The sequence below is a fragment of the Homo sapiens genome, chromosome 1 (genome assembly GCF_000001405.40).
Source record: "Homo sapiens chromosome 1, GRCh38.p14 Primary Assembly".
Classification (NCBI taxonomy): domain Eukaryota; kingdom Metazoa; phylum Chordata; class Mammalia; order Primates; family Hominidae; genus Homo; species Homo sapiens.
The window spans coordinates 76273912-76301276 of record NC_000001.11 but is presented as its reverse complement, the minus strand read 5'-3'; the positions used below and the strand labels follow the sequence as shown (position 1 = coordinate 76301276).

The window sequence follows — 27365 nt, the reverse complement described above, 5'->3', positions numbered from 1 at the left end:
CCAAACTAATGATCTCTGCCTCTCTGATCCACTCTTCCTTACCTATACTGTTCCTCTGAGTTGCTGCCACTAAAGTTACTTTGAAGCCCCAAGAATTAAAATCTTAGCTCTACTTAATAGCTGAATGACCTCAGACATCTTAATTTTCTTTTTCTCTGATTCCTCATCTGTAAAACCAAAGGGTCATTATGAAAATTAAATACTTAGATAACACAGAAAAGGCCTAGCTTAGTGCCCATTACATAGCAGACAATCAATGATCATCAATTTCCTTTTTTTATCCACATATCAGGTTGCCTACATAAGCTATTCTTTCCTCATGCAATGTCTTCTTTCCTTTCCTTCCTCTTTCTCTCTCAGGAAAACTTCTACTTGTCCTTCAAGATCAAATTCAAATGTTGTCTCCTCTGTGAAACCGTCCTGCCCCTCCAAGAAGATTCAGAGCGCTTTGTTCTGACTGAAGCACACTTCACATCCTGTAGCAATCGTGATTACAAAGCAGCCATCATCATTCAACCAAATTCAGCAAATACACAGCAAACCATATCCCACCTTCTCCCCAGGCAGACATTGCTAATCAATCATAGCACTATTTCCACCTGAATCAGGATGCAACTTCAGAATCCTCTCAACATAATGTTGCAGGTGGTTGTGATACTAATCAGTTTACCACTTAGCAATAAACTTAGCACTTAGCTGTCCTTAGGCAGCAGCTTAAGGACAGAGGCTATATCTAGATAAGTCTACAAGCTGTCTGACCACAAGTCAGATTATTAACCTCTCTAGGCCTCAGTTTCCTCATCTGTACATCCATTTTTTAGTGATCACTGCTGGCTCCTGAGTTTAATGACTCTATAATGATAACCGAGGGACCTTGATTGTCTAGAGCTGGTATCACTAGAAAAAGGGTTTGCAGCACAGCTTTGCACATGGCTCCCACTCTGGCCCACATCCATTTCTTATCACAGAGTTAGGCATGCCTTTAGACACTTGAAAATTGGAGCCACTGTCTACATAATTGAAACAGAAATAGGGTGAGAATTTCTGATCTTTCAATTGGGCAGATAGCAGCTGCCACTTACCAAAGCCTACCTGATTGCAGCTATTTTACACCTGCTGAGAAAAAGTTTACAGCAAAAGAGATTACTTCCTTTTTTAACCCTTGGCTGAGAACCCACCTCCATATTTTTCTGTCCAGTTGTGCAGAATAGATCAGGTTCAGTCTCCCAATATGTAGATGAACACTGATAGGTTAGCGCACATGGTCAAACATCTTCCACTAAGCCCTGGCACTCACAATGGGAATTTTAAATGTCCACTGAGCCAGTTTGTTGAAACCTGGTATCTTATCAGAAATGGTGCTACATAAAGCAAAGAGAGCCTGAGAATTTTTATGCTATGCATATTTCTTAAAATAAAGGGAAAAAATCTGTTTCATATCTTATATATGACTGCATAATGAAACTTTCTCTGGAGATTATTTGTTGATTCCATAAGCAAAATATTCAGATTTATTCAGTATGCATTATTGTGAAAATATATATATGAAGTTAGTCCCCAGGGAAGAATTACCAATACATAGTTGTGGAGAAACAGAGGCCATTTTTCCAAATTTCAAAAACAGATTCAACTGGTGGGAGGTAACTTTGTGCTGGATCTTAATATTTTAACTAAAACTTCTGCTCTGGTGCCCAAGACACTCAATGTATCCCAGCTTTGGGAAGAATTTCTCTTTTGCAGAATTAGGCCCCAGTGACTGAACTTTTACAACCCCTAAAGGCTTTACCCACCATACTTTAAACCACACATGTACATCCCCTTTTTAAAGTTGCAGTGACTTGCTAGACTGTGAGCTCTTGAAAACTGGAAGCTGTATCTGTTTTGTTCACTAATGCTTCCCCACTGGCAAAAGCAGCCAAGCCAGAAGCCTTGTGCACACAAACTAGAAAATATACAAGAATCTGGGTATTTCGTATGCCTGATCAAGAGCTTCCCAGTTCATCTGCTTTAACCACAGATCTATTGCCCTAGTGCAGCAAGAAGAGAAAGGCCGCCTCCACACCCTCATGTCTCCTTCAGCACCTAGCCACCAATTCACAAGATGAAACTTCGAAAACACATAATTTACATTCACTTAAAAACAGCATTTGCTGAATTTGCTAGGTAATTTTTCAAAGCATGAAGGTGGCCCTGTATTCTTAGCATATTTTGACATTTTTATGCATTTTATTTTTAGATGGTATTCTGCAAATCAGGCTTTGCTCCTGATTTTCACAAAGCCTTTTCTTCCTGAGTAAAATAGGTGAGCAGTTCACCAACGCAGGGCAGCTTTTATCTGCAAAAAATCTGCCTTTCAGCAGAGCAGACAATACAAGCAAAACGGAGGCAAACACATGCAATATTTCCTATATGTGGATTGTGATTCTTTTTTCCCATGGGATGTGCAAGTGGCAAGATAGTTTATTCCCATGTGGTGCTGATAGCAGGTCCTGAATATTTCTGGATACATCACTTTTATTGCCTTTTATACTGAATTACTGTGAAAGAAAAAAATACTTTTGTGAAAATTCAAAATCAAAATACGTTAGGGACTTTTAGAATCCACCTCTAGGACATAAAGAAAAGCTTAAGAAAACAAATACTTCTGCTAAGGGATACCAGACACCACTCCCACTGGGACAGGGCCCCTTCACAGAAAGGAAGACATGTCAAATATTTATGCTGACGTTCAGGGAAAAACTGCAGGTGTTCCATCCGGGTTTAGTTACTCTGAGCCTTGTCCCTGCTGCTTTAGAACTTACCATGTAATGGACAAAATTTGCCCGAGGGTGCTTTGGCCTATAACATTTCAGCCCTGCATGCTGCTTCTGGGATTTGGTTTATGATACTTTCTAATTTTATATTTCACTAGAAATCTCACCTCTCCTTTGCCCATCAATCGTAAGGATTCTTGTTCAGTATATACCATGTGTTGGTTTCTTGGGTAAGTTTTTAGATAGATTTTCTCCTCTTTCTACACAATTAAGGATTCCACATACTAAGATACGTTATTTGAAGCACTTTAATTGCCAGCTTGTCATTTCCTACTTAGGTGAGAGGGAGTTGTCTATATGGCAAGATAAAGTCCAAGTGTCTTAACATGTTATAAAAGCCCCTTCATAATCTGACCTCTGACTGTTCCTCCAGCCTCATCTCTCAGCCTCCCAAACTTGTACCCTATACTTTAACCATGGTAAGCTTTTTGTGGTTCTTGATAAATTCCATACTTTTCAATTGCCACATATATTAGTATAGTTTTTTTTTCTGTACAAAACTTAAGTTTTTGTACAACCCTAGAAACTTTACTTCTCTGATACTTCTCCTAGCTGTTCTTCTGTCTCTTCGGGAAGTTAGTCTCTTGATTCTTGAGGAATAGACAGATAGATAGAGAAGAAAATTTAGATATGTAGGTAAAAAACAAACAGATACAGTACAAATTATATATCTGTATAATAGACATGATAAAATTGCAGTACCATTAATTGAGCATCTACTATGTTTCTGAAATCATGCTAGGTCTCGTACACATATCACCTCTGATCTTTACAACTACAATGTATGTAAATACCTTTATCCCCCACTTCATAGTTGAGACAACTGTTCATTAAAAAGATGAATGATTTGCTCAAATTAACAGCTAGTAACTGGTGATGTCAAGATTCAAACCAGGCGCACCTAAAAAGCTAATGATCTTTCCATTATACCACAAGGATATCTTATTCTATACTTATGTCATGTGTCCTTCTATATCCTAAATAAGGATCCTGTATTTATTTAGTCATATTTCTGTCTACCCCAATAAGTTAGAATACAATGCCTTAAGGAAAAGGACAACATACCCCTGGCTCTGGAAACTTATTATTTGGCACATATTAGATGTGCAAGAGATGTTGGTGAATCAATACATTAAATGAATGAAATAATCTGCTCCTGTAATTTTCAGGCAAAAAATAATTATTGCTGTGGATATTGAGATACTTTTAAATTATTGTCAAGAGACAATATAGTCAAAAGAAAAGATGATTTAGAGACAGGAGAGATGAGATTCTCATCTCCACCTTGGACAAATTAGTTCCTATCTACTGATTTCTCAACTGCAAAATGGAGAGAAGAGCCCCTTCTCCACAGATTTATGAAGCTTGCTTCTGATAAAGTCCATAAAAGTCCTCCCTTTATAGGCTTTCAAGTTCTATACAGATGCTGACCAATGCTGATGCTCAACTACACATGATGATTTTCTTCAATGACCATTTAATACAAAATATTAGTAATACTTTTGTGACAAGAAAATATGAGGGCTAAAGAGATTTGATGTTTTTCACCAATCAACACACATTTATGGGGCAACTGCACCATACAAGATATAGGGTTGAAATTTAATCTTTTCTCCCAAAATAATAAAGTTGATGGCAGCAGAAAGTATAAAGGGGAAAAACTAGAATATATTTATTATAAAATAACACAATGCCTTTCTTTCTCATCAGAGTTGAAATTCTACAAGGGCTGGAACTGTGTCTGTTTTGGTTGCCACTATGTCATCCCAGTATAATATCTGATATACAGGTGGCACTCAACACTCATTGGTTAAATACACATTCATGGTTCATCGTTTAGTAAAACACTGCTATGGACATTTGGGGTTTCTAAGATAAAGCATGGTCTGGAAATGGACAGTAAAAACAAAGAGAGAATTGAATTTTCTACATATGAAAGGCAACAGGAATTTGCAGATTGAGAATTGACGAATAGAAGAAGAGAAGGGTCGATGGGAGAAAAGAAGTCCAGGAAAGAGGCAGCAAGTTAGCACCTCAATGGGGTGACCCAAAGACATTTCCTTAGAAAGAAAAGAGAACAACTGAATTTCTACCATTTAGTGGTAAAAGTTCTCAAAGCTACGAAAGAACTCAGAGCTACAGTACTCAAACCATTTCATTGCACAAAAATGTATTTTCACACAGACACACACACTTCCCAAGAAGTTTGCTTTGCTTTCCTAGTTTTCATTCTTTTTCCTCCACTTCCTCCCCTCTGGAGACTATTCTAGTGAGGCAACCATGGATGTTAAAGAAACCAGTTTTGACTCAAAGGCAAGTAAACTTTCCCTTTCTGATTCTCTAATCAGGAACATGAGGATAGTAACCTGCCATTTCTCAGAGTAAATGAGGATTGAAAGAAATAAGATGCATAAAAACGTTCAGAACACACCACCCCCACATATGCTACTTTGGCATAATTATTTTGAGCTAAAAGCACTTAAAAAATAGGAGGTGCAAGATCACTCCGACCCTCCATCTGTTTCCCAAAAGCAGGAGGTGAAATTCCCCTATGGATTTCATGTGAAAGATCCCTCCCTATAGTAGAAAGAAAGCAACATTCTTATCATCACGGACAGGAAGCTGAGACTAAGAAAATTCTGTACTAACCTTGTTAAAATAAGTCTTATCTTCTAGTCTCTCCACATAATTATTTTCTTTTTCACAGCTCACTATTCCTTTTCCAGTTCAGTATGTAAGTCTTCAACAATAACTGTGTCTTTGGGTCTTCATTTCCTCATGAAGGATCCTGTGCCACCTAAAATTTGTATTAAATACATTTTTCTCCCATTGATCTGTCTATGTCAATTCAATTCAAGGTGGGAACAAAACCAAAAGAATAGAGATAAGATTTTCTATCCCCTACATACATTATGCCTCTAGCACATAGTGAGTGCTCAATAAATGTCGATTTTATTCCTTACTCCCTATTCTCTCTCTAGTCATCCTACATCACTAGGGAAACAATTTGCAACTACAGAGACTCCACTGAGCAGCAGTAGGAACACACATACACACAGATTCTAACACCCTGCCTTTTACCAAATGCAATAGTACCGAGGTCCAACATTTCCAAACAAAGCATAATACACTTGGTAGACATTCTGAGAGTTTTCAACTACAAAGGGCCATGCTAGTAACACCTTAAAATACAACCTTTGGGTCTCTTTAGTTTGAAAAATCTTCAAGAAGCTCTTTGATATCAAAGAACATACCTATCTTCGGTAGCTTTAAACTATAATTGCTCAGGCTCCCTGGTGGGAAAAAATAAAGCCTCATAGAGAAAAAGAAAAAGAAAACATCTCAATAAAGGCTTCCAGAGGAAAAAAAAAATGCCCACTGGTTTGCAAAAATGCTTAACAGAGCTCTTCCTTTGCCCAGCATGGAGTGGGGCAGCTGCTCAGAAGAAGAAACAAATTACAACAGGAAGAGTCAGGGAAGTATTACAGTGCTCTACCCTGCTCAGCTGTTAACAAGTTAAACATGTGACTTTTCCATCACAAATTATGGAAATTTGAATTATTTTACCTTCTAAAAGTTGAACAAAATGAATAAAATAAATAGAATCTTCCCAGGACCTTTTGCTTTCTTAGAGTGATGGACAAGTGCATTAACTTCACATAAATTATATGCCTAAACGCAGCAGCTAACAACATGCTACCACATACCCATCACTCTGCTTCCGTTAAGTGGGTTGAACTTGACCTTCAAAGCCCTTGAAATGCAAAAAAAAACTTACTCTTTTCTGACATTTATGAGTGTCTTTTCTGCTTGACTGCCTTTTACCGCCCAGAAATAATAGTGAAAGCATTGTAGATGAAACCCGCTATAAACACTGACAAATAACAGGAAAGGCAGACAGTTTTATTCCGGGCAGGTTAAAGCTAATCTAATCAAATCTAATTCTCTCTCTTTCTGTAAGCCTACCACTATGTTCAATTTATTTTTTGATTAGAAGTGCAATATGATAGTCCTCTTTGGACTGCAGTTAAACAATAGTGAGGTTTACATTTTCCCTACAAACAATTCTGATAAAACAAAATATTTCAAAGGTTTTTTTTTTAATAAAAAATATGCTCAGACCAAAAAAGAAACTGTTTCCCAGTGCTTTTTGACTCTGAAAATGTATTGATTGTTTCCATTCTAACAAATAATATATACCTAAGAGAAAGTGTTCTTTGGTCCTGGGTTTCAGAAATTTAATAAAAAGAGCTCTTTGAAAATACTGACTAATGGCAGTAAAGACATGACATTATGTGTATTTAAATACTGAATAGTGGGAACAATGAGACTCCTATCTGAAGAATAGTTAGCAATTCCGTTAGCAAGGTACAAAGAGCTATTTTCTTTTCATTGAACAAATGTATAGTCCCTCGTTAAAAAGAGTGCTTTCTTAGTGAGTGCAAAGGAAGTCTACATGCTCCACAAACGGTTTTGTATAAATGACCAGTTTGCCTTCCTCTGAAAAGTTTTCATTGACCAGTAAAGAATCCTGTTTCTTCCACTCTTTAATTATGATATAAAGCACGTGCATATGTGTATACCCCTCCCTCACACACATACACACACACTTCTACTTATAATGTACCAGTTCTTTCGCAACATCAATATAGCCTGTTTTAAAGCTTTATATTTAGAAACAGAAGGAATTTTACTGAAGATCTTAGAATAAGAGATAAAAAAGGCCACCACTTTGCTTTATCTTCTAATTGACAGTGGTACATAACCCTCACGTAATAGGAAACCTATCACAATATGTTGGGATTCCAACGAGATGTTTAAATGTTTCTTGCATTGACCTTGTGAATAATATAAAGACTGGCAGCTATGATAAACAGGAAAGGACACCTGCCTTTGGTGTCACTTGGACCTTAGTTCTAATATGAGTGTTTCTATTAACCAGTAATGTGGCCATGGGCTCTTTGGGACTCAGTTTCCTCATGTATAGTATCAATAGAGAGGACAAATGGATTTAATATTTTCTAAAGTTACTTCTAATGCCATATGAGAATTTGTATGGGGCTAAAGATCACATAAGGTGATAGATCAATGCCAGCATAGGGAGAGATGAGGACCCTGATGACACCTACCAAAGCATCTGTGTTTTTCTGATGCCAGTACTGTTGATCAAATCTGCAAAAGATACAACACCATGGTAACAGCATTATTGGCAAAATCAGCATTTGAAAAACTCTCAGTAAGGTAGAAAGATTGGTTAAGCAGTATCATTAAAATTGAAAATGGTAAGTAGGATTCAGTTAAAAAGATTAAAAGGAAAACATGACTCCAATAAAAGATGAGGGGAAATGTTTCCTTTATATTACTTAAGAAAAACCTGAGGTTTTAGTTGACCAGGAAGCACAAAATGATTGACATGGCAGCTTAAGAAAATAATTAATTTAGGGAACTAGGGATTAATCTGGCACAGAGAAGACTTGAGGAGTGATTAAGCCTCAAAATACTCACAGGGAAGAGGGAGTTGACATGTTTATTTTTGTGCAGAAGATAGAACTAGGTCCACCAAATGGAAGTTCAAGGAGGTAGATTTTGACTTCATATAAACAATAATTTTGGTTTTATATATCAGAAAGTGTTTGTTGAGCATTTAGTGTGTCCTGTGCATAACTGACATGTGGGGCTACAGAAAAGGGCACAGAATCGCATTCAAGGAGCCCAGAGTCCAGTAATAAACATGCTACGGTGAGAGGAAGTGAACACCCCAAATGGAATAAGTCATCAAGCAAGGCTTACTGATGACTGCTAAAGGGAAATCTTGTATATATTGGATGACTTATTAAATCTAACCTCTTTTCAACTTTAGTTCCAGGCCACTGGTTCTGGCTGTGGCAAGGCACTTCCTTTAAAAATTGCAACAAGTAAGCCAATCTTACTTACTGGTACTTATACACCAAGTGTCAGAAATTCAACCACAAAGAGAACTTATATTTTAAAAAGAGGACTCATGGTTACCAGTTGGTTCATTCTTTCTACAAACATTTCATAGGGACATCCTGCTCACTGCTCTGCGAAGGACTGCCCTTGTGATATTGAAAGCCCACTGGTTTTCTACAAACATTCCTCAGTGCCCAGGTGTATCAGTGTATCATTTCCCACTCTACTGAAGCTATCATTTCCCACTCTACTGAAGCTACCATTTCTAATATAATAATTTTAAATTGGGACTCAGAATGTTTTAACATCTCATGAGATGGAACATCAAGAAGTGCATATTTTCAATGTTGCTGTAATATTAAGTTCCTGAGAAGGTTCATTGCTCATTTCTGGTTTGGGCAATGTTTTATGACAAGCTACAATTAATACAAATCCCAAGAATTATCTTGGAGAGCTCTCAAAATGGTGCTATAAGATTTCCTCAGTGAGGCTGCTAAGTCTTTTGGCCATAAATCTCCCCCAGTAACACGGCTTATTCAATTTAAGGCTGCAAGCCAAAGAGAGATTAATGAGATGAGTTGTCCACCAGTCAAGGAAAGAACACAAGATCTATCCTATCTTATTTCATCTTCTGGTTTAATCATTATAAGTGTTATGTAATGTGACATTCACACATTACTGGAGATGTTCAAGGAACAAATTGCACATCACTAATCAGCAGATCATTTTTCATTTTCTTGCAGAATGTAAAATTAATGATGCCCTCCCTTTTTTTTTATTAAATTCCTAAAAAACAAGTTATATTAAATAACAAATTGAACATAGGAACAATAAGCATTTTTTTCTTTTGCAATTTCAATGCTTTTCTCTACACTAACCAATCCCAGCAGTGTTAGAAAAGAGGCTTAAGGAGCTACTACTTATTTTGTTTCGGTTCGTTAGAACTCCGACAAGCAGCCTGCTCTTTCGGGATCCAAAATGTTCTTTTCCCACTTGATTCTTTCATGTCTGTTATTCCTCTTTAACTTGGTGATTGTAACATACTTGGATGCGATTTCCAATCTGCTAATTGGGTCCTGGGGAGTGTCCCGGCTGGGCTGGGGCAGCGAGGCCACATTGAATTGGCCGGGCCTCATGCTCTCTGCCAGGAGGTGCTCCGGCAGGAATCCCTCTGACAGAGGAGCTGCAGGATGCCCCTTCGGCTGGCGTGGCTGATGGAGGTGGGCACCCTGCCTGCAGGCACTGCAGCCTCAATCAGCCCGCCCCTCCAACGTGCTGGGGATTTTAATTAAGAAACCCTTTCGATATGCCGTTGTAAAATACTGAAGAAGGCTCATCAAAAAGAAGCTTGGATTCTCTGAAATTTAAACATTTAGTAGGCCCCAGGAACCACTTTATTTTCAAGTTATGGCGGTCACTTAGAACATCCATCTCCTCCTTTCCTGCTCAAAACAAGCCGGTTTCATAGGTTATTCTTCTCCATCTCCTTTAGTACCTACTTCCTTAATAATTCAAGTGTTACTTCCTCCTGACATTTCTCAGTTGGACCTTTCAAATTTTAGCTGTGGTTAGATAACACGGTGCTGCTTTGGCTCAACAGCTCGCTCGGTAAATAGGTCAGGACAGGTATGTGTGGATCCCCTCCTCCCCTGTTTTATTCACACACAGCTGTCCACCTCCTGAAAGCTGCCTTCCTTCAGGGACACACAGCAGCTGATCCATCATCTACAGTGAGAAAAGGAGCAGCGACATGTAGGGCCACCCCAGGGATGTTACTGCTAGGAAATCAGTTGCCAAATGCAAATGTCCCAGTATGAGATAAGGGTGGGAGGTAGCTGTGGAATGAGGGAAGAAAATCCATCAAACCTGGATTTAAAACAAAAAAGACCTGGCTTCTGGTCCTGGACATGCTATTCACTGCCTGTGTCACCTCTCTGAGCCTCAGTCTCCTTTGCTGTAAAGATAATATCTGCCTCAATGAGCAGCTGTAGACACGTACCCACATACCCAAAGAGGTGGCATTCGTAGCTGTGGTTAAAAAAATCAAAACAGAAACAATATCAGTATTTACCAGAAAGTAAGATGGCTAAATAAATAATGAGGTATTCATTCCATGGGCATGCAGTCATTGAAAGGAGTGAGGTAGATCTGAATGTTTTATTATGGAACCATCTCCAAGACATATTATGATTTTAAAAAAAGCTTGAAGTAGAAAATTACATATAGTTTGATATCCTTAGTGTTAAAGGATCTACACAGCAATAGTGTACTTTTTAAAATAGTCTTACCTGAGCATAAATGAATAGAAACAAGTGCTGGACACACACAGTGCTAACAGGGGTTAATCCTGTGGAGGGAGCAGGGAACTGGAACCAGATGTGGCTCATGGGGCATTTTTACTTTTATCAGTAATACTTCAATTTCTTACAAAGGAATGCATTTCTTTACTACATGTGTAACTAAAAACTATTTCAAAAGAGAAAGAGTGCTTGTGAGATAATGAGTGTGAAACTACTCTGAAAAACAGAAAATCCTGGGTAGATGTGAACTTTTACTATTCACTCTGCCCAGGTCACACCACATCTATCACAGCCATTTCCACCTCAGGCAAGGCAGGCAAAGCAACTCATTCCCTCCTCCCTCTGTTCCCTTCATGACTAGCTTCAAGAACCCTGTGGAAGGGGGGTTGGGCTTCCACTGGTTCCCTCCCTGTGCACATAACCAAGCAGTGAATGTGATGGCCTTAAGGCGGAGCCTACATCAGGCCCTAGGTAAAAAGCCTGTTGATTAAACCCTCTATTGGTTACGGGCCTCCAAGTACAACATGTAAACCTCTTTTGGGATTCCTTCTATCAATGCTTCATCAGGTCCAACTTAATGGGGTTGGTGCAACCCAGGGGTTTCTGGACCACTTTTTTCCTCTCCACTCATCCCTCTTACCCCTCAGCCCCACAAGAAGCCTCACTAAGCAAATGTTTTCCTAATGAAACCATTCCTGAATTTAAACTTTTTGCCCCCTTGAGGGTGCTATCACCCCTGCTGGGAACCCATGATGTAAGCTAACTATTCCATACTATGTGCCAGGTGCTTCTTAAAGCATGGTGCCTGAATTTAATCTTTAAAAACATGAGTAATCGGAAGCACAGAGAAGTTAAGTACATACCATAGGTTGCCTAGCAATAAGTGCCAGGGCTGGGATCAGAACCCAGACAGTCTGACTTCCATCTATGCTCATGACCACTGCCCTATGCTACCTCTCAGAGAAAATGTGCCCAAAAATGCTTGAGAAAAACATCTTGCCTTACAGACAGAGATCAATAGAGTTTATCCCACATGAAACTGTCACCTTTCAGTGGTGTTTGTAGCAAATAGAGGTTGAGATTAAAGGTAACACACCAAAGTGTAAGTAACATAAGGTCCTATAAACATAGGTTTCAGGAACACAAGTGGGAGGAAAGAACAAACCTGCTTTTATTGGAGTTTATGGCACTTAGAGATACAGTTTCTTCTTAGACAAGATGTGAATATACAATGGCATGAGACGTACTTTGGAGGGGGAAGTGTGGTTCTACGTGACATACACAGTAATCAGATTTTTGAGCCCCACACTTTCATATATGAAATGAGCAAACCACAATGTGTTCATTTTTCTGCTCGCTATAATAGAGCATGGGTCGGTGGGTATCTTTTCAGCCTCTCATCCAGGACTCCCAAAATAGAGCTCTCCCATCTGACTCTGACCATCACCTGTGTTTTACATTCACAGAGTCCTGCTCACATCTCTGCACATGGCATGTTCTTCTCTCTATTCATCCAAGTGCAATTTTTTTTAGAATAAAATTGAATCTTATCCCCAAACTCAGACAAGCACACATCCTGCCCTCTTCTTGGAGACCCATACCATTCAGCCAGACCTGTTTTCTTCCTCATCTGAGCTTCCACAGCAGTTACTGCTTGCACCACCCATCTGAACTTCTTTGCAGTAAGGGTTGACTTGACAATTATGTGTGCCATTCCCTCTCTTATACCACAAGTTACTTAGTGGTGAGGACTGCTTAGAACTTATACTTCTAGTTACTTTGTCCAGAGCCCAGCACACAGTGTGATGCCTCCAGGGATGAGGAGACTGGTCTCTGATGTAGTTTGCTGTCTAGAATGTGTAGTGTTAAAACATCCATATCAAGGTGGTGGGGGAGCCATTATTTTTTTCACTCTGCAGGAAAAAATTGGACCACAAACACAAAATTGGACTTACAAACACATCGTTACTGGGTATAAGGTTGGAGAAGATACAATAATCATTTCAGCACCAAGCTTCCGCTGTGATTTTACAGTGATTTCACCTTTCTCCCAAAGCTTCTAGACAACAGTCATACCTTAGGCCCACAGGCTCCAAAGGTAGCCAATTAAAATCCTGGTAAGCAGAAGAGTCTGGCCTCTTAGTCAAATAATGAATCAGCATCTCAAAGATGAGTGGGAGAGGTGATCTCCCATGCTACTTCTCAGTTGGGCAGTGAATTGTAGGTAATAAGCACATGGCTCCCAAGGCAGGCTGATTGCTAAACCCCTTCTGCTGCTCACAAACTCTAGGACCTTGGACAAAGGTACTTAACAACTTTGTGCCTCCATTTCTTCATCTGTAAAATGGAATTAAAGCTGTATTCTCACCCCAAATTAAATGTGGCACACTTAGAAGAGTGTTGCTAACTGTACTATTGTTTGCAAAGGTGCATATAATCAAGAAAGAAGAAACTGGCAGATGCTCTGGATAATGTGAAGAACAAACACACCCAATGGACTAACTTTTAACAATGCTCAAATTCTGGGGTATCAGTGTGCACATTTCTCACATGACAGTCATAAAGCAGGCTGGCTTTTATAATGCCTGCGATTTAGGCTAGGGATGATAGAATCATTCTTTAATTAACCTGCTGCTACCAGAGGATCCTATATAAACCAGAGTACTCATCTTTTAAACAGATGAGCTTTTCACACCTACTAAAATGAATCCAAAGTAATTGCTGTTATCTTGGCGGTTGGGGAGAGGCTTCAGTTTACTGTGACCAAATAACTCCATTTCTGAGGGGATTTGTGCACCATCCCACACTCAGCTGGTGCCATCAAATGCAAAAAAAAAAAAAAAAAGGAAGAAAAAAGAAAACCTACAACTGACAAAATGCAAACTTAAAAATAACTTCAACTGCTCTTATTCTCTTAGCTAAACAAATTATCGCCATAATGATGTTGGGCAGCAATTATGACCAAGTTCACAAACAGACACACTCTATAATCATTTGTGCAAAATGAGAAATCACTTCACCTAAAAATGATTTTCATGACTAAGGACATGTGAACACAGTTCCTCTTCAAGACTATTTTCCCAAGTTCTCACTGACTACTGCTTATCCAACCTTGAATGAAGGGAAGGCTGAGCTAGTTCTAGTTTTAAAACTTGTTTCTTTTTAAAAAAGTTATCATCAATTTCTTCTAACAACTATCTCTGGCAAGATCAGAAGTCCAGAATTCAGAGAAGATTGAAGAACATACACCTTTTGGTGTAAATTATTTCATTTCACTGTGACTTCTTGTAGGGCATTTTAAATGGTGTGTATCTTACTGGGTCTTGTATAGATCATCTCTCTCCAGTTTTCCAGAGATGACACAGGTGAAAAGGAACTCTGTGACTTTCAATTAAATGACAAGGTCCTCATGCTTCAATTGTCCCACTTTCCTGGTGCACTCACAATCAAAGCAGCTGTCCTAGGTCTAGAGCCAGGACACTTCCTGCCTCAAACCAATCTTCATAATTCCCAGTTGGTTTGGCTGAGGCATGGCCATGAGGCCGGTGGCTTCATATAAACAAGTGAGGCACTTTGTGAATAAAAGCAACAAGTCATGGCACCTCATTCCACCCACAAAGGGGAAGAAGGTTGCCCAAGGTCAAGGGCAGGGGTTGGCATCAAACCTCCCTCTTGAGACTCTCATATATCCAGGAACATGGAAAAATAAAGGCCAGGAGGAGGCCTACTCTCTAGCATTTATAGGAGACTGGCGTCCGATGTAGTTTGCTGTTTAGAATGTGTCTGTGTTAAAACATCTCTATGGAGGTAGTGGGGGAGCCACTGGTTTGTTCACTCTGCAGAAAAAATTGGACCACTGGCCTTACAAACACATCATTACTGGGTATAAGGTTAGAGAAGATACAATAATCATTTCAGCTCCAAGCTTCCACTGTGATTTTACACTGTGGTTTTACCTTTCTCCCAAAGCTTCTAGACAATAGTCATAGCTTAGGCCCACAGGCTCCAAAGGTAGCCAATTAAAATCCTGGTAAACAGAAGCATCTGCCCTCTTCTCTCTTACTGTTTCCTCTGTGGCTAAAAATAAAGAGTGGATGGAAAGGCCTGTTACTCTTCAGACATATTTGATCCTGGGAGGCTGAAACAAGTAAGACCAAGCTGATGGCTGCCTCCTTCCAGTAGAATGTTCCCTGTGACATCTTAGCCTATGGCTGTCAGTCTAGTTCTGCATGTCTTTCCTGTGTCTCCATCTGTCTCATTCTCTCTGCCTTCCTGTATCTGTCAGGATGTTGGTGGGGCGGGTCCAGATGGGGGAGGGGGCGCGGGGGTGTGTGTCTGCCTGTTTCTCTCTTTGTGTGTGGGCATGTGTGTCTGTTTTCATCTCCCTCTGTCTCTCTGTCCCTGTTTCTCACTCTGCATGTATCTTCCTGTATCTGTTTCTCGCTGTTCTGTCTCTGTTCCTCTCTGCCAATCTCTCTGCATCTATCTATCAGGAGGTTGTCATTCTGTGTCTCTCTCATGGTCATTCAATCTGTCAGAGCTGCACAATGACTTTTTTGGCCCTAGTCACTTCTGCCCTCATGAGTACCTTCCTCTATAGAAAAAAATATGAAAACATATTTTAGGACTACATTGGCATAAGGCAAGTTTATATAATCTATGCTGAATTCATTAATAAATATTCATTATTTTTATTAGATTCATTTTTTATTCTTGATTTTAAAAAAGATTAAAACATTTTTGTGGAGCCCTAAAACTGCCACGGCCCCAAGGCACCGCACCTATGGTGCCTAATGGGTAAGTCACATTACACACACATGTACACACACACACACACACACACACACCATCCTCCCGACCAGGGGCCTGGCCTCCTGTTGTCTCAGCTTAGAAGACTATAGGTAAGGTCATCTTATCCACTTCTGCTCTAGACTCTGGGGCTCATGTTATTTTTTTCACACATTCTTTTACTTCTCACAGATTAGTTTGGTAACCCCTGTCTCTTTCTTATGTTGGAATGCAAAGATCTAAGCTTCTGGTTAGGGCTTCAGTATGGAAATAAATTAAGAGTGTGTTCTCACAGGCTTTAGTTCTAGGTTAGACACAAGGAATTCTCTATGTGATCATTTCTAGTCCATTAAACATCTGCCTCAGGATGCAGCTGAGCTCCAGGAAGGGCTCAGATCTTCCTTTCCTTGCCTCATTTCCTACCTCTCTTAAGCTGAGAGCTGGCTGGGTGAAGGCAGCAGGATTGTGTGGCCATCTATCTCCGTATCCAGAAACACCTATCCACACCCTATTGTGGCATGACTTACACCCACTATCATTTCTCTGGATGCCTTGGTATCTCATATGTAATCAAGCTTGATTTGTCTGCTTGGGGGACTGAAGGACAATGGCATATGGTGTGAAGCAAGTTCAACTGGATTTGATCACCTTTGCTTGTGGAGACTAAGATACCTTATATGAGAATCCTTAACAATAGTTTGCCTCCAAACCTAATGATCATGTACACTCTTGCCTCAGGAGATCGTTTCAGGTTTGATATTTGGCTGTTTAACTCATTTCTATAATAGTCCTAATTAAAAAGTCTCTTGCAAAAAAAATCCTCAAGCATTTTGCTATCTCCCTGGGAAATAGAATAAAATAAAATTGATTTTCTTCTTTATCAGCAAAACTTGTAAATTGAAGGCACAAATCCCAGGAAGCCAGTATATAAAATTTATCTTAATGTTGCTAATTGGACCCCAAAATACCCTTTCTTGTTTGTTCAAGTTTTGGAAAACAACTAAATTCCACCTGTTCATTCATACTTGCCTATCTCTCCAGACCCCAATAGAATAGAAAATATGTCCAATGTGCCCCTCATAAACATTTTCTTACTTTTAGAAGAACTTTTTGACTGTTTCTGGCTTCAAACTTTCCTTTTTGTCAGTTTTTGCTTACAATGATGTACTTACTTACTCTTCCTATTTTCTTTTATTTGCTAGTGGATTTCCCTCTCTGATCCTTCTGTGTTATCAACATACATTTACCTTCTAATTTCCTTCTGGTGTCAGAGATCTTTGAGCAATTTATTTAACACCAGAGGAAAAAAAATTAAACTTACAAATCTAATAGTAGTAATACTTTAAAGCATAAATTTCTGTTCTTTTAACATCCTATGCATTTCTAACTCAGTTCTCCGGCATTTCCATTGGTTTGATCCAATCCCAACAAGCCAGGGCAAAAAATAGATGAATGACAAAGAGATCAGGTTCCTAATAACATAATGATAAAGGTTCCCTTATACATGGTCACATGATGTCACTAAGTTAGGTTTACAACATGTGAAATTTCCAAACAATTTGAATCCCAACATCTGAAGAAAAAACACCAAGTATGTGAGATATATGATCACACTCATTCAGAGAGGTTCAACTTGAGGGGCACAAATAAAACAATTGCAATGAAAACACTAAAGTTGATGCCTGTATTTCTATTCACTCTCCATCCCACCCCAGAATCACTGAAGAAATAGGAAACTTAGGAAAAACAGAGCATTGTTGCATAGAAAAGTAATCTGATTATTTAAAGTCATGACAAGATGAATAGTGTTAACCTTTCAAAACAAAACTTAGGCAAGAGATCAAAAGAGGCAAGACATGGAGAAGCACAGTTTTACCAAACAGGCCAGATTTTCTTTATATTCCTTGTTTCCAAGTGATATTGTAGGCCCTGACCCCTCATGCCTTCCTCCAAGTTAATGAGACAAAAAACACAGGTTGGCTCTTGAGGGTCCTGCTCATGTACACATAACACTTTCAGTGAGCTCTAGACCACAGCGCCTGAAAGTATTTAAGTTTATTTAAATATAAAGATTCTATTATAACATAGAAAAAAAGAAAACCATTACCAATTCAGGTAACAAAGTAGTATAGCAAAGCTCAATGTGAGTTGTTTTAAAAAAAGAAAACATAGTTTCTTCTTTTAAAGAAAAAAAGCCAATTTTCTATACTCTGTAACATCAACAAATAATAATATAGAAACAAACAAACAAACAAAACAAAGCTAGTTCCTAGCTCAGTGGTCTTACCATTGTTCCGGAGCACTCTTGGGTACTGTGGAAGCTCAGAGGTCACTGAGGGATGGGGGCGTTCAGGGGCAGGAGGCAACCCATGGAGGAAAGTACCACTTTTTTTTTTCTTTTTGAGGCAGTCTAGCTCTGTCGCCCAGGCTGGAGTGCAGTGGCGTGATCTTGATCTCAGCTTACTGCAACCTCCACCTCCCGGGCTCAAGCAATTCTTCTGCCTCAGCCTCCCAAGTAGCTGGGATTACAGGTGTGTGCCACCAGGCCCAACTAATTTTTGAATTTTTTTTTTTTTTTAGTAGAGATGGGATGTCACCATGTTGGCCAGGCTGGTCTGGAACTCCTGACCTCAAGTGATCCACCTGCCTTGGCCTCCCAAAGTGCTGGGATTACAAGTGTGAGCCACTGCATCTGGCTGGGGAAGTACACTTCTATGGGTTTTATACAGTGGGTTCTCCATAAGACATTGTTACAAGAATATTTCTAGTAATCTAAAAAATTAGTTTGAACATATAGGCGATTCCTCTAATTTAAGAAAAATCACAATAAAGCTGATCCCTGAGAAACAGTAACTGGTGCCATTTTAAATGACTTTGTTCAGATGTCACTGCTGCACTATTGATAAAACTAAAACTGGAAACTACCTAAATATCCAATAATCAAGTATTGACATATACTGAGTATAGAGTTTTAGGCAATATTAATAATGATACTGTGGTTTTAAATGTGTTGACATGGGGAGATGTTCATAATAAACTTGAAGGATTTAAAACATATGAAAGATTAAGTATAGTATAATTGCATTTGTAATGTGTATGTATTTATCACATATATAAAATTATACATATATCACATAAATACACATACACACATGGGTATGAATATGTGTCCCTAAGTCTCTTTTTTCTTCCTCCATTCCCTCTCACCTGAAATTCCTCACAAAAGCTTAATATAACCAGTCTCTCAAGGCAGGACAAAGGGAAGGAAAAGGACTAGACAAGTGAAACCAGAACTCTTCAGCAAGCAGAAGGAGAAAAAAACAAGGAACACATATAATTCTTGTCTCCTCATAAAAGACAACTATAGACTGTTTCTAATCATTTTAGATGACTTGAGGGCATTGATTTAGGAATTTTAAAAGTCTATTTTTCATGCATCCCACCTTCTCCATTTGTCTTTTTCATGACAATCTGAAGTAATTTCCACTTCTCTGGTATCGTCAGTTGAGCTAACATGCATAGAAGTGCCCACTACAGCACCCAGCACCTGGTATGACCTCAATAGATGTTTCCTTCCTCCCTTTCCTTACTGCCAATTCGGTCTAAAAATGTGTTAATAATCTTAAATAATAATGAATCCAGGTCACATGAATTCACTTTGCCTTGAAAATTCCTCAATAGGCAGCATAATCGAGTAGCAAAGTGAACTTTGAGACCTTCCCAAGGACCAAACACTTGAAAATGAGAACAAGATGCTGAATAGGCCCAAGGCACAGCCAGTTTGTAGTCATTATTCTCTGGACCTGGCTCCAGCATTCTGATTAAACAGAAGGGTGCTGTCTGTTGGCCAGGTTTCATTTTCCGACACTCTTCCCAGTGATCTTGGCCCCACTTGAGTCCCCATCTGTGTGCCTTTGAACACTGTGCATGCTCTGTGCAGATGAGGAGTGCAGGCACACTGCTGGAGGAGCTACCCACACACTCCCCAGCAGGCTGCAGGCATCTCTGGCCAGCTTCCCTGCTGAAAAGCACTGGGGCTGCAATCCAACGGCTCTCTCAGGGTGGAACCAAATGAGAGTATATTTTATGACATTCATTCACCTCTTTACTACATTAACACAGAAAATGAACTCATAATTAAGTGTGCATTTGTTTAATGTTATTTTTTCCTCAGGCCTTCTAAGAGAGAAAATTTGCAAACTCAAGAAAAAAATCTATATCGATTTCAAGGTAATATCTCAGGGCAATAATATCTTCAGTTAAAGGAGAAAAAAGCTTGAATTAAGGTGTCGGCACAAAAATATCAGTTAGTGGCTCTGCTACTTACTATCCATGAGGCTTTAAACAAGTTATTAAACCTCCTTTGCTTCAGCTTACCAATCTGCAAAACGAGATAGTAATAGTAAGTACTCAAAAGACTATGATGATATTGAAGAGTTAAATTTATAAAGCTCTTAGAACAGTGCATGGCATAAAGTGAGCATAATATAAATGTTTGACAGATAAATAAATGCATAGTTGGGTGGAGGGAAGTAAGGTGATATTCAGTGAGCATCTACTCTATTTTAGGAGATTTCATGTATTATCTCATTTGCCTTGATGATCAATTTGTAAATGAATATTATTTATTGACCTCATTTTATAGAAAAGAAAAGGTTCAAGTAGAATAAAGTGACTTGCCCAAGTTTGCATGCTAGTAAATGACGAATCTGAGATTTGTAAAGAGGTCTGAATCCAAATCTTTGTAGCATACCATGCACATAACATTATTTAATTCTAAATTCTATGCCCATTATTTCATTTAATTCTTACAAGAATCCTTTCTGATAAGTAAGTAGCACCAGCCCTTGTCTCTACCCATAGTGCATCCAACTCAATCTTCTGTCTCTGGTGGCAGCAATAGGTATGTGTAACAGAAGGTCACAGTGCTCACCCCAGCTGAAATAGGTATGAATTTAGCTTCCCTAGCGGCACATTAGGTATTCATTTACCAAAAATGATAAATGCTGAAAGTACTATGCAAGAAATATAATCCATCTACCCGAACTGGAAAGGACTAGTAGTTAGTTCTAGGAAGAAAAGAGAGACATTGGAGAGTAACAGTCACCAGAATTTCTGTACTCCATTATCAACATATTTTTGAGAATATACCCCAAATATATTCAAACAAAAAGTAAGCAGTAACAACTGATGAACTAAAATAAATAGGATTTCTGAAACTGTCTCCATCTTTCCACTTAGGCAATCACTAATTCAGAACATAGCAAAGGGTGGGTTGGAAAAAAGGGCGACTGGAAGAGAGGACAGAACAGGGAGAATGAAGTGAAGCAGAGAAAGAAGCAAGAGAGAAAAGGCGAAGGAGAAGTGGAGGGAGAAGGAAAGAACAAATAAGAGAACGAAAAATGAGAAAAGGGGCAATGGCAAAAGAGAAAGGGCAAGATGAGAGAAAAGACAGGAGAGAGACAGGAGAGAGAACCAATGGTTAGCAAGCACCCCACTTTCTCCCGAACTCTTTATAATAGGAAAACACAAACACAGAACTCCTCCAGTCGAGTAACCTATATCTGTGCGCTGTTTCTCAAGTTGCATCTATAAAGAGGATCTCTACTAAGTTTTAACTTTCTTCCTAATTCTTCATATTTCTTTTGTGAATTCTGAGGAGACTCCAGCAAGGCTCCTGAGGTCCAGTGTGCCTGGTATAGGAGTCACAGTTGTGCTCTGGCTCTAAAACCTGAGGAGCCCTCCTGACGAAGTGGCTACCATGGACGCCACTTCCGCCTCCGGCAGCTGCCGGCAGACACGACTCCAGGCACTGCAGCTCTGAACCAGCTCAAGTGCTGCACTCACGTGATTATGGCCACTACTGCCTCTGACAAGCCATCAAGAATACTAACCACCCTTTCCCACAAAGGCTCCTCTTTCCCGTTTCTTCTGTAACAACATTCCCCCCACCCGCGAAGCTCTGGAGGCCTGTTGGCTAGCACAGGTTGATTGATAATAACTGTGTCTTCCAGCAAAAGATTCCACCCCTGAGGATCACAGATGGCGAATGACTTGCGGTAATTTTCTTACCAAAGAACACGGGGCTCAGGCATCTAAGCCATATTCAGCAGAGAATCCTTTCCAGTCAGATCCACAGAGGAGGCTTTTCGCAGCCATAAGCTTTCACTTGAGTTGTTATCAAAGTTTTCCATCACTGACTGTTTAAGAAAACATTAAAATGACTCCACACAGACTGCTGCTCTACAATTTCAGTTCCCCTGCCTGGCTGTGTGTGTCCAAATGCAGTCTAGGGGAAGCATGTTGGTGCTGTCTGCTGTCTGTTTCCTCAGGTGTGCAAAATCTCCTCCCTGGGAGCCAAGTGGCCCCCTCAGCCAGCAACAGTGACAAGAAGAGATGGATAAAGTTGTATCAAATGTCTGCTGACCTTAGTGAGGGGAGACAGAGCCACATAATTGTCTACAGAAAGGATTATCCATTCCGGTCATTGTACTCAAATGCTTAGAAAATTGTGAACATTCTTCTTGCCCGAGGGAAAGTACTACGCGATGAACAGAACTATTTTGGTGTGAAATCCACCTGATTTTAAATCCTGGCTTTACCATAAACACATTCGCTCTGTGACTTTGAGTAAATTACTTGGCTTTCCTAAACCTTGGTTTCCCTTGTCATGAAAATAGGACAAATAACACCTAACTTCGAACGTTGTGGTGAGGATTAAATAAGATTATGTAGGTGTGGCAGGCAAATTTACTAAAATTACTTTCAAATTGCAACATTTTCTGTTTATTTTTCTTTTCTTCTCCGTTCAAGCAGATAGACAAACTCTTTCATTCTCTGCATCAGGGATTTGGTTTCCTCAAAAAGTAGAGGTAACCAGATATCAAAGGCTCTTCTTGAATTCTTTAAACACTGAAATCCATTAAAAAAAAGAATGCCTAGCAGCCTATAATCCCAGTACTTTGGGAGGCCGAGATGGGCGGATCACCAGGTCAGGAGATTGAGACCATCCTGTCTAACACGGTGAAACCCCGTCTCTACTAAAAATACAAAAAATTAGCTGGGCATGGTGGCGGGCCCCTGTAGTCCCAGCTACTCGGGAGGCTGAGGCAGGAGAATGGCGTGAACCCGGGAGGCGGAGCTTGCAGTGAGCCGAGATCGCGCCACTGCACTCCAGCCTGGGATGACAGAGCGAGACTCCATCTCAAAAAAAAAAAAAAAGAATGCCTAGCAATAATGAGAATACATGATACTGAAAGATACCATTTATTATAGTGACGAAAGACAGTGAAGATCTAAATAAGTAGATTTGGATAGAAATATAGATAGAAAGACTCAACATTATAATGTTACAAAGATACCAACTCTTCCCCAAAACTATAAATTTAATGAAATTTCATAAAAATATTAAAAATCTCCAAGATTATTATAAAATTTCTGTAGAAATGCAAAAGGCCAAGAATGACCAAGACATTCCTGAAGAATAAGGTCTAGGCGTGAGAATGTGGGAGGAGACTTGTGTAACCAGACTTAAAGCTCATTGTAAATGTATAGAAGCTAGTGGCAATATGGTACTGACTCAAAGACAACAGACCAAAGGCACACCACAGACAGCCCAGAAATAAATCCAGGCATATGGGGAAATTTGGTAGATGACAGAGATACCATTACAGATTATTGGGAAACGTAAATGATGCTGAGACAATTATTAGCCATATTAAAACACAGATGAAATAAGACTCCTCCTTCACGTTAAGTTAAAGACATATATGTGTATATTCGTGTATATACAGCTACATATGTAGAAATGTGTGTGTGTGTGTGTGTGTGTGTATATATATATATATATATATACACATAAACATATGTGTGTGTGTATATATATATATATATATATATATATATATATATATATACACATAAACATATACATATATGTCTTTAATTGACCTGTTATGAAGGAGGGGGTCTTATTCCATCTATTTTTTGAATATAGAAATTAATTGTTTCCACTTATCTTTTCCCAGTTATCTGTAATGTCATCTACCAAATTTACATATATGCATGGATTCATTTCTGGGCTTTCCATTGTGTCTCATTGGTCTGTCTTTGTGTCAGTACCACACTGCCCAAATATATCAGTACCACATTGCCCAAATATATAAGCCCATATGTAAATACACACACACACATAGGCATACACAAATATATATGAGGTTGGAGTAGAAAATAATTTTAAAAATAAGACAACAAAATATCAACCATAAGGAATAGTTTGATAATTTGACCACCTTATTTTTTTAGTTTATTAAAAGAATTTATCTCAAAAAGTGAAAATGTACATTGCAAATTGGGAGAAGATATTGCAACATGTATAACTGACCCTGGATTAGTAAGCAGAACATACAAGAACTTCTACAAATCCATTAAGAAGGTGAAAACAACACAAAATCAAAATGGGTAAAAATCATAAACAGACATTTCACAAAAGATGAAATAAAAATATCAATTAAAAATGCAAATATTCTCAGCCTAATTGATTTGCCAAAATGGTAAATTGAACTGTAAAGTATAAATTCATACACACCAATTTGACAACTTTTTTAAATGCTGACAAAACCAAGTGTTGGCAAAGATGTGGAAAAACAGGAGTTCTTATATTCTACTTATATTGAAAATATTATTCTATTTTGGAAAATAATTTTGCATTATATAGTAACATTAAAGACTGTTCATGGTTTCATTCGGCAATGCCATTCTTATATATGTATGTACATTTGGGCACCCCTTCCATGCAGGCACAACAATGTATAAGAGAAGATTGGCAACATTACTCCTAACACTCCCAAACTAGAGCCGACTTAACAGTTTATCAACAACACATAGATAAGTAAACTGTGGCTTAATCACACAATGGAATACTATATCACAGTACAAATTAAGAAATAGATTCATCCACCAGCATGGATGAATCTCACAAATCATGTGGAATCAAAAAGGCAAGTGGCAGAAGAAATACACATAGATGATATCATTATCACAAAATCTAAAATCATGCAACACTAAAAAATATATTGTTTAGGATTGTATACATAAAGGGTAAAATTATACAGGAAAGCAAAATATTGATAAACACAAAGAAACGTTGCCCCTGTCAGGGGATATAGGAGGCATTGCTAAGGAAGTTTAAAAGGGGGCTATGAAATCGCATTATATTTTTCTTCATATATCTTAAATGTTATATATATATATAGTACATATATAAAATATTTCAGAATAATTTTAACTTATGTGATGCAATGAAGGTCAATAAGATGTTAGTAGAGGTTTGATGGAAGCTATTACGAGAGAAGGATTGTTTAACATTCTGAAAAGTTGTCCAAAGCCATTGTGTCTCTCTACTGGAAGATGTGGGTTGCAAATATAAAACCTGGAAATGCTAGCTATTTCCCCTTCATAAAGGAATAGATCTCAGATTCAATGTCATATCACAGTCACAAAACATTAAGGAAGAATGAAACGAGTACTTTGATGACACTGTTGAACCGCTGAATCAAACCAGTCTTGAAGCTTGCACTACATGTGACCCATTCAGATATACAAGACAGTAAATGCTCTTACAAGACAAGTATATACAAGACAATACAAGTATATACAAGACAGTAAATACTCTTATTTAAAATACATAATACAGAAGGGAGATAATGTTCTTAAATACTAGCCATCAATTAAGAAAATAAAACAGTAAAACCTAATGCTAGGTATACTCAGGAAGACTTTTGGAGTACAGGGAGAGAGAATCAGGAAGGCAAACAGAAAAAAAGATTACACCCCATCCCCACCAGTAGAGACTCAATTATTGCCCAGGAAGCATCCTGAGGGAAGACCTTAGGATGGATCCTGGGCCCTGTCTGAGTCAAGGGGCAACTAGCCAAGTGTGACAGATAAGCAATGACCAGAATTTTGGCATGGTACTAACAGGTCAGTGCAGAACTCCAAGAAGGGCCAAAGTTAAGCTTCCTGCCACCTGGGAGGGATGGGGACATCAAAATCAGAGTTTAATATTTCAAAAATGTGAAATGTTCTATTTATTGCATATCTGAGTTTACAGACTAAGATTCAAATCTGCTACATAAGCAAAGTGCCCAATGAAGAATTTCCCAAAGCAGGCCTTGGAAAACACTAGTCTCCCTTGAAGAAGGGTTTCATGCTCATACAGGTTTAAATGTTGTGTGCTACAACTTGTGCTTATTGATTCATATTGCACCTTAGCATATTAAAGTCCTGCAATGAATCTTTTCCTAAATGCCTTTGAGCAATGAACATTTCTAGAGGAACATCTATCAAAAGCCGAGAAGCTGGAATTGCACTTAACACATCTTGGAAAACACTGTCTCCGTAGAGCATAGTCAGCTTCTCTGTCTACAGGGACACCACACTATTATTCTCTCACTCAGTACACAAAGCAGAACCCTGGGCTCCATTTATTGCAGTCTCAGAGAGTGACATTTTTCCAACTTCTAGTGAAGAAATGGTCTTCTGCCAGGTCTGAATTCACAAGATGAAGTTCGACATTCCCTGAATTTGAGTGCTTCTGCTGTCACAGTAACAAACTGTTGGTGAAAGGTTTTACCAGTAACTGTTAAATCACATAAGTTTGTCAGGAAAATGATAAGAGAGTACCCTGGAAAAGCACCCCCCTCCACCCTATCTCTTTAAAATACCTATGTTTGCATTTACTGTTTCTTTCAGAGATTAGAAATCAGACAAAGAGGACTGGGGCTAGCATTTTAAAAATAATATGAGAATTTAATAAGTTTAGACTCTAGAATTGCTGACATTCTTGTATTGATTGAAGGGGTTTAGGCTGCAGAAATAGCTTTCACTCATGTTCCATTCAAGGTTCTTGAATTGCTTACTTGTGGATTCCTGATGTGAAATGATGAGTAATGGGTGAGGAGGCTGATCAGAGATAAGGTTGAGCAAAGTGAAATGCCTGAATTACAGGAGATTGGGAGAGATTGGGGGCAAAGTCATAAAAGATTGCCCATGCTTGCTATAAGCCACCATGCTGTTAAAATAGATACAGAGTTGGGTTCTCTAACATCCCGTCACACAGCAGGTATGTATTTAAAAGGGTAAATTAGAATTTTTATAAAAACTTTAAAAATTTAAGATGTGATGGAAAGGTTCAGAGACTAATAGGACATAAACTTGCTTATATATAATCATATATAAATGTATAATGTACCCACAGGTGCACATATGCATAATTGATCCATAGTTTGAGAAGTTTTTATTATTGAGAGATGACACCTAAGCAAAACTCTCTTGAACTATGAATGTACTTTGCAAAGATTAGAAAGGAAAATATGAAAATATTAGCTATGCTGACTTCGAATGTTGTGATTATGGCTGGTCTTTTTCTCTCTTTTAGTTTTATGTATACTCCAAAGTTTCTGTGATAAATGGGACTCTCACCTGTGGGCCATAAAACATGTTACCACTGGATGAAGCAGTGAGATTTTTAACA

At 38.7% G+C, this 27365-nt stretch overlaps 1 protein-coding gene across 15 annotated transcripts in view, besides 1 other annotated feature; it reads right to left on the bottom strand.

Annotated features, from left to right (window-relative positions):
* Positions 1-27365, bottom strand: part of ST6GALNAC3 (ST6 N-acetylgalactosaminide alpha-2,6-sialyltransferase 3) — a 562594-nt gene that overhangs the window by 336063 nt on the left and 199166 nt on the right. The window contains exon 1 of one of the 15 annotated variants that reach the window (XM_017000939.2): positions 6592-21199. The exons of 12 other annotated variants lie outside the window; for them this stretch is intronic. In XM_017000939.2, the coding sequence (XP_016856428.1) occupies positions 6592-6663 (72 nt within the window). In that variant the 5' untranslated portion in view covers positions 6664-21199. Of the gene's footprint in view, positions 1-5462; positions 6558-6591; positions 21200-27365 lie in introns of those variants that run through there. 2 more of the 15 variants (XM_017000937.3, XM_017000941.3) reach the window with 2 other exon arrangements.
* Positions 21254-21753: an enhancer, noted in NCBI's record as "H3K27ac hESC enhancer chr1:76745209-76745708 (GRCh37/hg19 assembly coordinates)". NCBI's record gives its function as "activates a minimal SCP1, AML or CMV promoter by ChIP-STARR-seq in primed H9 embryonic stem cells {active_cell/tissue: H9 hESC(primed)}" and the evidence as "EXISTENCE:reporter gene assay evidence [ECO:0000049][PMID:30033119]".